The 14,773-nt window shown below is 37.6% G+C and overlaps 1 protein-coding gene across 5 annotated transcripts in view; it reads right to left on the bottom strand.

Moving 5' to 3' along the window:
- Positions 1–14,773, bottom strand: part of ESCO2 (establishment of sister chromatid cohesion N-acetyltransferase 2) — a 47,687-nt gene that overhangs the window by 29,564 nt on the left and 3,350 nt on the right. For all 5 annotated transcript variants that reach the window (XR_949378.4, XR_007060703.1, XM_011544421.3 and 2 more), the window contains exons 2-7: positions 14,530–14,598; positions 12,928–13,735; positions 9,830–9,923; positions 6,040–6,097; positions 2,095–2,212; positions 1,119–1,250 (exon numbers count right to left, since the gene is read on the bottom strand). Coding sequence is in view for 3 of the 5 variants with exons in the window: in XM_011544421.3 (XP_011542723.1) it covers positions 1,119–1,250; positions 2,095–2,212; positions 6,040–6,097; positions 9,830–9,923; positions 12,928–13,735; positions 14,530–14,582 (1,263 nt within the window). In the remaining 2 variants the exon portion in view is untranslated. The remainder of the gene's footprint in view (positions 1–1,118; positions 1,251–2,094; positions 2,213–6,039; positions 6,098–9,829; positions 9,924–12,927; positions 13,736–14,529; positions 14,599–14,773) is intronic.

The raw sequence follows: 14,773 nt of genomic DNA, 5'->3' as shown, positions 1-14,773 counted from the left end.
CTGTCAGCCAAGGTAAGGAGTCTGGGTTTTATTCCTAGTGCAACAGAAAGCTGTCAAATTTGAAGCAGACAATGTCAGAACCTATGTTTTAGAAAGAACTTTCTGGCTGATGTAGAGATCAGATCAGAGAGGGCAAGAATTTAAACTACACACATACACACTTTCTCTTTTGTATGTATTTTATATGCACATATATAGGAAAGGTTGAGGCCAGATTAAAGAGCACCAAACTTCTGGTGGGAACTTTTTCTTTCCAGAAGTATGTAGAATCATACTAGACTTATGTTTCATCTATGGCTTTTTTTTTTTTTTTTTGAGATGGAGTTTTGCTCTTGTCACCCAGGCTAGAGTGCAGTGGCACAATCTTGGCTCACTGCAACCTCCACCTCCTGGGTTCAGGCGATTCTCCTGCCTCAGCCTCCCGAGTAGCTGGGATTACAGGCACCCGCCACCACGCCTGGCTAATTTTTTGTATTTTTAGTAGAGACAGGTTTTCGCCATGTTGGGCAGGCTGGTCTCAAACTCCTGACCTCAGGTGATCCACCCACCTCGGCCTCCCAAAATGCTGGGATTACAGGAGTGAGTCACTGCACCCGGCCTAGACTTATGTTTTAAAACGTTATTTCTGGTAGCACTATGGGAACCCAGAAAGCAAGCCATTTCAATAAACAGGCTAAAAATATTGTGAAGGCATTAACCGTGGCAATAAAAATAGGGAAAAAGGAATGTATCTGAGTAGCAGGTACAATCATAAAGATAGGGCCAATGATAGGATGTGTTTGGACTTGAAAGGTGTTTAATAAATGGGTGGGACCTCTCCTCTCAGAAAAAACCTGGAGAAGTCATGGGAAGGCTATTTTTTTCCTAAGGCTACCTATAAAGACAACACTATAGTGGGAAGAGAGTATCTCTGCAGTCTCTGAATTTTGTATATCTGGACTGTTCAGCTCTGCTCAGAATGCAGTGTTTACAAAATATTTATCTTAAATTGAGATAGTAAGCTTGAAACATCATCATTAAAAGTTAACTTTTCCGGCTGGGTGGTAGAGGTGGTGGAAAAGAAATGTCTCTTTTAGTTTTACTTCTAGAACAAACTGAAAGACTATGTTTTGGCTCACCACATATTTGATTCCTTCCAGAAACCTGTGGTGATGCTGTACATGCTGCATTTCATCTTCAGGGTTGGAAGCAGTATATATCATACCACAAGACTTGCACACAGTAGCCCCAAAATGTTTCTGACCAGCGTCCTATAATTGGGGGGTAAAAAAAGAAACCCATTTAAATATAGCACAAATAGCTCTAAATTAAGTTCCTATAACCATTCATTCAAATTTCACCTAATTTTTTTTTTCCTGCTGACACAAGTGAAAAACTAAATGAAAATCTGGTTACCATATCCTCCTTCCCTCCCCCAAGACAAAATGAAATGAGATCAGGCCAGGCACAGTGGCTCACGCCTGTAATCTCGGCACTTTGGGAGGCTGAGGTGGGTGGATCACTTGAGCCAAGGAGTTAGAGACCAGTCTGGGCGACATGGTGAGACTCCATCTCTTTGGGGGGGGAAAAAAAAGAGACAAGAGACCTAAAAATGCAATAAATTGATGAAAGGGAATTATTTGAATGGACAGTGTAAAAACCAAAGATTTTTTTATTTTTACAAGATTATTTACTAGACTCATGGTTCTAAGAAAGAATAAGATTAAATTGTGGAAATTACAGCTAAAATGAACAACGGAACTTTTTAATGAAACCCTTAAAGACCTGAAAAAGCCTTATTTCAAACAGGGAGGGCAAAAATTTTAGGACTTCTATATTAATTATACAATATTTTTCCTTAAGCAGCTAAGAATATTAAATTATTTTAAACAATATTAAAATTATTTGACCCAAGAGTTGACAAAAAATAGAGTGCAGGAAAAGCACAGATAAATTCAAGAATATTCAATGTCACCACCTACAACTCCCATTCTGTCACATAAAACATTGCTTAATGACATTGAAAATACCAAGTTCTGAACTGTCTAATACAGGGGTTGGCAAGCTTTTCTGCAAAGGGCTAGATAGGAGAAGCTTTGTTTGGAATTTACTCACGATGATGAGCTGGTCTTTTGTTTTTTTACTTGTATCTCTGGTATTAGTATTTTTCTGGATATTGGTCTGTTTCATGAAGTTGACAGATCCCACAGAAAACTGTTCTTCACCTAAAGATCTTGACACAGAAAGTTGATATATATAAATTTACAATTTTGGAGGAATTACAAGGGAAAGAAAGCAGCCATTTATCAGAGTACCTTGCAATTTTTAGTGCTTTCTATCTGACATTAACTTGATGAAGTAATAAGGACAGGAACAAAGAGAAACCTGAGGCCTACTCAGAGAGGGTCAGTAATTTACTCAAGGTAAAGTAACTAGTAAATGGCAGTGTTAACACTCAAATCCTGGTCCTCTGACTCCAAGTCCTAGGGACTTTCTTCCACAATATCAGATGCACATAGATGCACACTTTGGAAATTGACTTTGCCCTTTAAAAAAAGATTTTTTTGCTTTATCAAATCTTAGGACAATATTTACCCCATACAGCTATGAAGAAATTCCTGGGGTACTGGAGAAAATAAGTATAATACTGAACTTCACAGATCCACAGGAAATCAGAGTCACCATCATATTATGACCCAGCACCTGGGCAATGAAGCTTCTAAATTTGCTTTTCCTCATACCAAAAGCAGCATCTCACTACTGTGAAATTCTTAAGGAAAAAAAAAAAACAAAAACATATTTAGGCTGGATAGCTGTAGTTGAGACAACCTTTACCTATTATGAAAGAATGTTGAGATTCACTTATAGAGGTTGCAAACTGGAGCCCCTCAGGCCAAATCTAGCTAGCAGATATGTTTTGGTTGGCCCATATGGTATTTAAAAACTTTGGATTAGCTACCAATATTTTAAAATCTAGAGATTTCACTTAAAAATGTGTATTTCCAATATTAAGAGACATTGTAAGATCACTAAACCTCTACTCCATCAAAGAATCTATGAGTTCGAACTTGGAATAGCACATGCCCTTTTAAGTGGGCAATTCTTCAGCTGGCCCTAGTCTCCACCCAGCCTGCTGGTTCTGTAGGTACTGAGTTTGTAACCCTTGCCTTGTAATGAAAGGACCTTGGTTTTCCAGGGACCAAAGGAGTAGAAATCCCTAAAGAGTAGAAGTAAATAAGAAAGAAAAAAAAAAAAAACCCTAGTACCAAAAGTAAGAAGTTCAAACAACAGGAAAAAAAAAAACCTGACAAAGTAGAAAAAAAAAAAAAAAAAGGTGGAGCATTAGCTCCACTGCATTAAGCTAAGTCAAGCTATCTTCTTACCATTTGTCTGAAAAGTAGTTTTCAAACTGACTTGACAAATCTATGCTAAGAAATACATTTCACATGACTAGTACAGACATAAAACCAAAGTTTCACTAAATATACTTGCTGTGTGAGAGATACACTATTCCACTAAAAATAAATGCTATTGTTGGAGGCCAAAAGAATGAGGGTTGTGACTAACTCAGTATACCACTGGAGGCTATATGAGCAAACAGCAAACTGTTATCATGAATGCAGGTTGTTGGCAAACTGACAAACTGCATCTGCCACCCAGAAGGAATGCTGAGGGCAGTCATGCCCAGGCACAGTGTTTCTTGCGATTATCTATAGGCACATTTGAAGCCTGTTAGCAATCACGTGAACCTGTGATAAATCAAGCAGCTGACCTTTACCTCCTCCTCCCTGCTCTTTCTACCCAATAAATATAAAAGGCTGTAAAAGCTCAGGGCCCTTGCTCACTAGCAGGAGCTCCCGACCCCTTCTTTAAAAAGATCCTTTTGTCTTTGTCTTCATTTCTGCGTTCGTCCACCTTCGTTCAGTCCCATAGTAACTGTCACAAGATATGACACCCTAAACTGGTCTGATGAACTACTAATGGGCTACTTCCTACAGTATGAAAAAACACTTGTTCAAGTCACTGACCCTTTTCACCTTATGCAGCCTTTGCTAGGCTCTCCCTGACTCTGCATGCGTGACAGCCATCTCTTTGCTTCCATTTTAGCAACTCTAACACTATATTTGTTTAAATGTCTACCCTCCTCTAACCATAACCTCCTTGATAGCAAGACCACATTAATTATCTTCACATCTCTAGAACTCAGTATAGTTCAATAGCATGTGATACTCTCTAAATGTTCATTGAATTTTAAAAACCAAAAAACAAATGTGCGACTAAGCACTTTGAGAATCTGTAATCATCTGAAGTAATAGATTAAATCTCAAATTGCTGATAACTGACGTTTTGGAGTCTACAAAAAGAGCAATATCATATTATTTAACAAATAGTATCCCACTGTCTTTTTTTTTTTTTTTGAGATGGAATCTTGCTCTGTTGCCCAGGCTGGAGTGCAGTGGCACCATCTTGGCTCACTGCAACCTCTGCCTCTTGGGTTCAAGCTAGTCTCCTGTCTCAGCTTCCTGAGTAGCTGGGATTACAGGCATGCCCCATCATGCCCAACTAATTTCTGTATTTTTTGGAAAGACGGTTTCCCCATGTTGGCCAGGCTAGTCTCAAACTCCAGACCTCAGGTGATCCACCCACCTCGGCCTCCCAAAGTGCTGGGATTACAGGCATGAGCCACTGCGCCTGGCCTGTCTCTTTATGCTAGACTAAATTAGTATACACTTTTATCAGTTAATTGTGGTAGGCTTCTGCTATGGTTTGAACACGTCCCCCAAAGTTCATGTGTGAAAACTTAATCTCTAGTGCAACAGTTTTGGGAGGTGGGGCCTAATAAGAGGTGTTTAGCTCATGATGGCTCCACCTTCATGAATGGATTAATGTTGATTATTGAAGGATGTGAGGCTGCAAGCCAAGCTCTCTTGTTCTCTCATGCACACTCTCTTGTTCTGCCTTCCGCCATGGGATCATGCAGCAAGAAGGCACCCACCAGATGTGGCTGCTTGATCTCGAACTTCTCAGCCTCTATAACTGTGAGCCAAATAAATTTCTGTCCATTATAAATTACCTAGTCCATGGTATTTTGTGATAGCAACACAAAATGAACTAAGACAGCTCCCATCTTCAATAAAAGGTCATGAAAGATGACAACACAGGTGAAAAATGGGAAAGGTGAGAAAAACTAGAAACAAACCTTTGAAGAGGGAAAGCTGTGCACCCATCCTAATCACTGAGGCAATTTAAGGTGAGGTGCTCTGAGAGTAAGGAAAATGTAGCCGGGAAGTTCCTTGCTTAATATCTGGAGTTATTTATAATCAAATGGGGAGAGAAGAATCAAAGCTGCTTAGGAAGAGGATGTTTAGACCATAAGAAACTACTTTTTCAGAGCTCTGCCGCCTATCATGCTCTCTACCCATCCATGCCTCCTCCATTGCAGTCTTTAGCTTGGGTACTGGTAGCTTCAGCTATACTTTATGATAACATTAAGCTGCTGCAAGTTACTTACTCCTCCAGCCAGCTTTCTCATCTACAACATGGGGTAATAATGGTACCTACATCATGAAGTTGTAAATGCTTATTAAATTGTAGCTACTATACTATCACCCAGGGAAGGCAATATAACCTAATGGGCATTTGGTTCAGATATGGATTCTAGTCCTGGTCCTAGCACCTAATAGCTGTGGCAACTGTGGCTAAATTACTAACAGTTTCTTAGGCTGAAAACAGAATAATAGTATCTAACTTCTAAGTTGTTGTGAAAATTAAGATAATAGATATAAAACTACTTATTATGGGTAAGGTATTATATAATAATGTTAGCAATTATTATTACTCAAGTATATAAAGATCTTTTCCATCTCTCAACTCTTAAGTTCTTATGATGTTTCTATGAGGGACTGATTTCATCACCCTATTCTCAATATTATTCTCCTATTCCCCTTAGTGAGGAAGAAAAAAAAACTCCCCAAATTAAGTAGCATGAGACTGAAAAAGAGACCCAGAGGAACTGTATAATTTACAAGGCTTGGACTTTAAAACAATAACAATTCTCACCTTTTTGAATTGACTGAAGATGCACTGAAGATTGGATAGACAGTGGACTTAGGAGAAACTGGTAGGGGAAAAATCATGATAATGTGTATTACCAAATAAAATCAAAGCTTTAATTCATAAGATTTCAAAGGTTAATAAGACAAAATAATACTCAAGATCAAGATTTAACAAAGAGGCAAAGGTAATTCCATGGAGGAAAAACAGTCCTCAACAGATGGTGCTGGACCAATTAAATGTCCACATGCAAAAAAATTACACCTATTCAAACCTTATGTAAAATTAACTCAAATGGATCACAGATCTAAATGTAAAACTATGACCAGGCGTGGTGGCTCATGCTTGTAATCCCAACACTTTAGGAGACCAAAAGTGGGAGGATCGCCTAAGGCCAGGAGTTCAAGACCAGTCTGGGCAACTTAGTGAGACTGTGTCTCTGTAAAAAAATTAATAATAAAGGAAAAACATAAAACTATAAAATGTCTAGAAAAAATATTAGGGAAAAATCTTCATGAACTTGGATTTGGTAATAAGTTTTTACATACAACAGCGAAAGCATAATATATTTATAAAAAATTAATTTGGACTTTATCAAATTAAAAAATTTTGCTCTACAAAAAATAAAGAGAATGAAAAGGTAAGCCACAGATTGAGGGGAGAAAATATTTGCAATCATATATCTGATCAAAAACTTGTATCCAGAATATATAAAGAATGCTTATGGTATGTCAATAGTTCAGCAATAAATGAGAATTACTACTGATACACCCAACAACATGGATGAACCTTAAATGTATTACTAAGTGAAATAAGCCAGACCCCAAAGGATATATATGTGTAATGTTTTTCCTGGAAAAGGTAAAACTATAGAAATAAAAAGCAGATTAATTGTTGCCAGGGGGCTGAGGGGAAGGAGAGTAACAATAAAATGTAGGCATAGGGAAATTTTAGGGTGAAGGAACTGTTCTGTATGGTACTGTAATGGCTAATACGTAATTCTATACATTTGATAAAACCCACAGAACTGTAAAAATCACAAAGAATGAACTCCAATGTACATCAAATGAGAAAAAAAAATACATATAAATATCAACCAGGCTACTGAGGTAGCCTAAGATGGAATGCAGACTGTGAGAAATGAATCTAACTATATTAGAACTGTATAGCATAACGACACTGAAGGAGGTAGGGGGAAAAAGAGAAGCTGTCCTAAGTAACTTTAGCAAATGGTGTTTTGACTAGAAGTTATAAGGATAAAGACAAAAAGATTGCACTTAAAATTGCACTCTAGGCCGAGTGCAGTGGCTCACGCCTGTCATCCTAAAAAATATATTATTTAATATATATATATTATTTAACTATATATGGAATTCTACAAAGGGAAAAAATTGAAAATATATCACATTTAGAGAAGAATGGCATGAGCTGATATAGGATTCCACAAAAGCTTACTTCAGCAATAATTACATATAGAAAAAGAGACTGAATTAGATAAGATTCATCTCAACCTCAACATGAACTATGAGATGAAAGGTAAGGGAGGCCAAGGCGGGTGGATCATCTGAGGTCAGGAGTTTGAGACCACCCTGCCCAACGTGGCGAAACCCCGTCTCTACTAAAAATACAAAAAAATTAGCCGGGCATGGTGGCAGACACCTGTAATGCCAGCTACTTGGGAGGCTGAGGTAAGAGAATCGCTAGAACCCTGGGGGCAGAGGTTGCAGTGAGCTGAGATTACGCCATTGCACTCCAGCCTGGGTGAGAGTGAGCCTCTGTCTCAAAGAGAAAAAAATTGCACTCTAATTGGTTATTTCTCACAGGGGTATGAATTAACAATTATGAAACTGTTTTACATGTTTACTGGGACAGAACAAATAAGTAGATGGATAGTGAATAGTAGGAACTAAGTGTCTCACTGTCCGAGAAGGAAGTTACAGATGAAAAAAGGATAGAATAAATCCTGGAGTACTGGATTAGAGTTGGAAATATCAACGTCCAGCTGGCAATATGCAAACAAAGAAATAAGACAGAAAATGTCACAGATAAGACTAAAGACACATGACAATTAAACGTAATATAGTACCTTGGAATGGATACTGGGACAGAAAGAAAACATTAATAGAAGATTCCAAATAAAGTTTAGAGTTTAGTTAACAGTAATATACCACTACCAATATTTGGTGAACTCCAAATAAAGTCTAGTGCTTAGGGCCAGGCACAAGGGCTTATGCCTGTAATCCCAGCACTCTGGGAGGCTGAAGTGGGGGGATCACTTGAGGTCAGGAGTTTGAGACCAGCATGGCCAACATGGTGAAACCCCATCTTAACAAAAATTAGCCGGGCATGGTGGTGGATGCCTGTAATCCCAGCTACTTGGGAGGCTGAGGCGGGAGAAATGCTTGAACCCTGGAGGTGGAGGCTGCAGTGAGCCAAGATGGTGCCACTGCACTCCAGCCTGAGCAACACAGTGAAACTCCATCTCAAAAAAAAAAAAAAAAAGTCTATACCAATACAAGTTTCTTAGTTTTGACAAAAGTATTATAACATAAGATGTTAAGAATGGAGGAAACAGGGTAAGAGATACACTGCTACTCTCTGTACTTTAACTTTTCTGTAAATCTAAAATTATGGCAAAATAAAGTCTATTAAAAGAAAAGAGCAAAGTTAAAACAGCAATTGATTTGAGGAAAATAGTAAGCTGAGAGTGGGCTAAAAAAACAAACTTTAACTTTGCATTGAAAAATAATTAGAGCTCATCCTCTAGAAACAAGGCCAAGGCAGGTGAAAGTCTGAGCTGCTATTGGTAAGTTACTTAACCCAAGTCCATTTCCTCATCTATAAATGGGCATATCAGGACCTAGAGTAGTAGGGAGAATTAAATGATAAACTGTAGTTATTAAGTAATAAAGTTTTGGTCTTTTTATATTACTTTTATGATTTCTCCCATATCCTTATACCATTTGTATTATTTTTATTCACTATTTTTCTTTAAATTGACTTAGACAATGTACTAAAATATATTTTAAAAGAAAAATTTATAACTATTTTAAGTAGATGCCTTTTTGTTATATTTTCTATTGTATCAGTGCTTTGAGCACAATCTATGAAAAACATAACGTATACTAAATATTTAGCACTGCCTTATATTCAGCACTCAGTAAATACTAGTTATTAACATCATATCTCAGAATCATAAAAAAAAGCTTTATGTATTCATAGTTTAGTAAGCTATTTAATTGAACACTGACAGCATAAATTAGGAATAGGATTTCAGAATTGACAGGAATTTAAAAATTAACTTTAACTCTTTAGAGATATCTTCCTAGATCATACAGCTAATTATTAGTAAACCTAGACAAAAATCCATGGTTCTTGATGCTTAATTTCAGTGTCACTTATAAAACTTAGTAAGTTCTGCTCACAATTGGGCTTTGATCACAAATATACATAATAGTTTTAACTTCTATTATTTTGGGTGAAAGATAGAGTAGGTATGATTTTATAATGAGAACACTCAACTCTAGAGAGCTTAAGTAACTTGGCCACAGCCATAGACCAATTAAGCCTAATATTTTGTCTAAAATTTTAACCTAGGATCTCCTTGTTTCTTGTTTTTCAAAACGCAATGCACTGCTTTACTACAGAAAACAGTGTCACAGAGATAAACAAAGATACTAACCACAGGCACGCTACTGAAAAAAGAAAGACCCAGAAATTACAAGAATTATTATTGTATAATGTATGTAATAAAGCATTATTTTAAGCAGCTAAATTCATGCGAGTTTTCTCTTACTTGTCTTATTCTCACCAAGAGAATCCTCTGAAGAAAAAGCCTCATTTTTATCAACTTTATGTTCCTTTGAAGAAACTCTGTCATCTGATGAATCCTGAAAATAGGTTTAAAAAAAAAACCAAACATCTGTAATTTTTAACTATTTTCTAGTGAATGAATCCCAGCAGATCTATTTCTAAAACAAAAGATTTGGTTTATTATGAATTACATTTCATAATGTGATTTTCAATCAATTTTCAAACTATTTTTAGGAAAACTTCCCCTGTATTCACTAAGCGTACATTACCTTTAAAGCCAGAGTACAGCAGGGCCCGGTGGCTCATGCCTGTAATGCCAGCACTTTGGGAGGCCGAGGTGGGTAGATTGCGAGGTCAAGGGATTGAGACCATCCTGGCTAACATGGTGAAACCCTATCTCTACTAAAAATACAAAAATTAGCTGGGCGTGGTGGCACCTGCAGTCCCAGCTACTCGGGAGGCTGAGGCAGGAGAATTGCTTGAACCCAGGAGGCGGAGGTTGCAGTGAGCCAAGATCGTGCCACTGCACTCCAGCCTGGCAACAGAGCAAGACTGTCTCAAAAGAAAAAAAAGCCAGAGTACACGTGTTGTAATCTGTCATCCTCTCAAAAATGTGTTATACTTCCTGACAGAGATGGCAGAATGATTACAGACCATCACTTCCATAATGAAATGAACAAAAAAGCCAGTAAAAATGGCAAAAGTTTCCCCAGCAGCCACCAAACTGGAAAGGGACAACTTTTTGCCATAAACTTTAAAAATCAGCAGCTAAGGAAAGAACATTCTAGAGTCACTGGAGAGTAGCAGGAATGTGGGAAAAGCAAAGTAGAAAAAAATCCTGACAGATTTCCCTCATACTAATTTGGGAATTACTAGGGAATATATAGCTTGGGGAAAAAGGAAAAAAACTCTTGGTTAAAGTAGAACTTCTACTCAAAACCATAATATCCCAGCAGAGGTGGGATAACCCATCAGTTTAACACTTTTCAGGGCTCCATGAGTTGGGGAAAGGGTATCCTCACAAAAATCAGATTCACCGGCCAGGCGCGGTGGCTCACACTTGTAATACCAGCACTTTGGGTGGCCAAGGCAGGTGGATCACAAAGTCAGGAGTTCAAGACCAGCCTGGCTGAGAGGGTGAAACCCCGTTCCTACTAAAAATACAAAAATTAGCCAGGTGTGGTGGCCGGTGCCTACAATACCAGCTACTTGGGAGGCTGAGGCAGAGAATTGCTTGAACCTGGGAGGCGGAGGTTGCAGTGAGTTGAGATCATGCCACTGCACTCCAGCCTGGGCAACGGAGTGAGACTCCATCTCAAAATAAAAAAACAGAAAATCAGATTCGCCCTTAGCTAGCAGAGACGAATCCCAGACATGGGTATTTAGCAAAATCTTGAAAGAGCATAGCCCCGTTCCACAAATTTAAAATGCACAAAAGCCCAGCTTCCCAAACTACTGAAAACTAACTCAATACCAAACCCGTAAAGTGAAGCTAAGAAAAAGAAAATAAGACAGAAAAGAGAATTACAGAATTCTCTGTTACACTGGTTACAGAGAATTCATCAGGTCACCATTCATTTGGTACACCACCAGGCTGTACCAAACAGATAAGAATAATCATCAGGAGATGCATGGGGAAACTGCAGACTCTTCCTTTGTTTTACTGGATTGAGACAATTTTAGCTTGAGTTACGCCCCAAACTTTCAAAAAACTTAATTTTCATACAAATGTATAAGTATAAAGCACAGTTTAATACATTTTGATAAAGCTTACTCTTGTAATCAAAATCCCTATCAAGACACAGAAGTGTTTTGTTGATATAAACAGAAAATGAATTAGTAAAATTAGACTGTCATGGCTTAGCTAGCAAGAACGTATCTCATTTAACAATCTACTTGGCCATACTCGATAAACAGGAAAAAAAACAAACATTTACAGTGAGGACTAAAAACTTAAATGCCTTACAAGGGCAGCAGTAAGTAAAATGATCAAAACTAAACTGATCTAAATAGATAGATATACACTGACTTAGAGAAATGAAGAACCCATATTTGTCAAATGGTATGATACTCAGCCTGATATTCAGCTCTGATTATTGCCATGTAGAAATGAAGGCTCAGCTTTCAATATTTCATGAGACACCAGAAATGTTTTTCTTGTATTTAAAAATAATTTTGGCTCCAACTTTTAAATTATGTAGGCCAAGCAAAACATTTATGGGTGAGATTTGGTTTACTGGCCACCAATTTATTATCTTTGCCACTGAGGTTTGAAATTTAGGTGATTACGAGAGATATGGACTGGGGTTGAATTTGAGAGAAACTAGTGAGGAAGGCAATGATGAGAGGTGGGTTAGGAAAGACATGACTATAAGCCTGAGTGTACTGGGTATCATATAAGCCTATCATTTCTCCAGCTACAAGGGTTGTGATGAATATAAACAAGCCACCATACATGGAAGCCCTGATCTGGAGACAACCTCTCTTAAGGTTGCTTCAATGGCTTTCTGCCCCTAGCTGCCCCACAAAACTCAACTTTTTTTCTGATGAAGGATATAAACAGGAGGTCAGCAACAGAAGTTCTAGACCAGCATGGTCTAATATGGTAGCCACCAGCTACATGTAACTATTGAGAACTTAAAATGTGGCTGGGCCAGGTGCAGTGGTTCACACCCATAATCCCAGCAATTTGGGAGGGTGAGGCAGGTGGATCACTATAGCCCAGCAGTGCGAGACCAGCCTGGGCAACATGGTGAAACCCCAGCCTCTACAAAAAATGCAAGAATTAGCCGGGTGAGGTGGTGTGCATCTATAGTACCAGCTACTTGGGAGGCTGAGGTGGGATTGCTTGAGCCTAGGAGGTTGAGGCTGTAGTGAGCAGTGTGCCACTGCACTACAGCCTGGGTCATAAAGAAAGACCCTGTCTTAAAATAAATAAATAAATAAACTCCTTACAGTAACTAAACACTATGCTATCTGGCTTTATAAAAGCAGTCCAGAAAATAAAATTTTATTCAACTATGTCATTTATACTGAAGTTTTGTTATACAGCCATTTTTAAAGTGATATATTTAGCTTTACCTTTATTAATTTCTCTTTATTTTTACTGCTTGCACTCAGTAGTCCAATTTTCAATTTCTCTTCTAGGACCAAGCACTTTGGCACTTGCCTTGTCGCAAAAGTTTTTTTTTCACTGACAGTCTCTACATCAGAATCTTCAATGACTTCTGATTTACTCTTTTGGGTGCGTCCCAGTGACGGCTCATTTTCCAGGGACGATTTTCTAAGAGAAGATTTTTTTCTAACAAAAAATGCTGCTCCACCCTGGAGTGTAACTTGTGGTTTTATTTTTTGGCTCAGAACCCGAGGAGCATTGGAATTATTTTCAGCTGAATGACAATTATTTTCCTTCTCCACAATTGGCTTATAGATCACTCGATTTTGCTTGGAATTTCTAGAATTCCTTGATACAGGCTTGATGTGTCTATACTTTGGTTGATACTTAGCAGTTAAACTCTTCTGTGGTTTTTTGTTGTTCTTCTTGGAGCAGACTGGTTTTCCTTGCATTTTTTCTGTCACAATGGGAAAAGATTTATCTTCATCATTAGTTTTTAGACAAGTAGATCTACTCTCTTTTATCAGCTTTCTCTCCAGTGGATTGAGGTACCACTTATTTTGGTTGTAAAAAGATACAGTGGAGAGCGCAGATTTAAATGGTGAGCCTTGATTTGCTGATGGCAGTCTATTTATTTCAGTTGTTTTGAGCGCACTTAAAACAAAATGCTCTTGTTGAGAGCAATGCAGGTTTTCTTCATTTTTATCACTGTTTTGATAAAAACAGTGCTTTTTATTAGGTGATGGAAACAGATTTTCAGTGAAGTGTAAAAGGCTATAAAAAGAAACAAAGTCCATTGATAAGATTATTTTGCGTCAAAATTTACATAAATCTACTGCTAAGTAAGCTCTACTTGTAGGTCATATTAAAAACAATACATGTACCCCCCATACACACAATTTTCTATTAGTTTAACAGTAGGATTCTCAAATTCTGTCTTTATCAAATAAAACATTCAAATATCTTCCCAAAGAGTTCATGAAAACAAATACTATATACAAAGAAGCTATGATAGACATATATGCATGTATGTTTTAAAATCGATTTCTATGTGTTGGCCATATATAAATTATAGCTCATATATTTTGCTCTATTGTTTACAAGCCCCCTATAATAACTGTCTGTAATGAACTGACCCCCTGGGGCTTTTCCTGGGTAGAGTAATTAATATCTGAGTACACAGTCTTTCTAGAATTGTTTCCAGACAAGCATCTACTGTATGCAAAACACTGTAAAATATTATAGGGGAACAGAAAGGAAAAAGGTAATAGCTGATTTGGTATATTTCCTAGCTATAGAAAACAGCTTTCTTCAATGTGCTGCTTCTATGTCAAAAGAAAAAAACAAAAACTAAAAAACAGCTTTGATTCCCTTGAAAAGGACTAAATAATTCATTATGAAAACTTAATGTATTTCCAAGCTAGAATTAGAATATAGGTTATCAGGTTATCACTGTAGCCACAAGGAGTAGGCTAGTGGAAGAACGAAAATTTTAGAAAATAGGAGAGAACAAGAGAGACAAGAAGGTGGATTTTTCTAAGAGTTTCTATTCACAGGCTGAGATTCACCTGTCACACTTCAAAGAATCCTGCTTCCTCTTCCTTGGAGTAAGAGCTGCCATTTTCTTTATTGAATTCCTAAAAGAAATGACAATAACCACATTCATCAAAATATTAAAAATCGCTTTATCAAAATTATACCCCCTTTAATTAGTCTATTTCACACCAAGTTAAAACCCTATTTTCTGGGAGGTCTTCCTCGACATTGCTCTCCTTCCACCCCTCCAAGGGTTACACGCGCTTGTTCTGCTTC

The sequence above is a fragment of the Homo sapiens genome, chromosome 8, assembly GCF_000001405.40.
Source record: "Homo sapiens chromosome 8, GRCh38.p14 Primary Assembly".
Lineage (NCBI taxonomy): Eukaryota > Metazoa > Chordata > Mammalia > Primates > Hominidae > Homo > Homo sapiens.
This window is presented reverse-complemented; position numbering and strand designations above follow the sequence as displayed.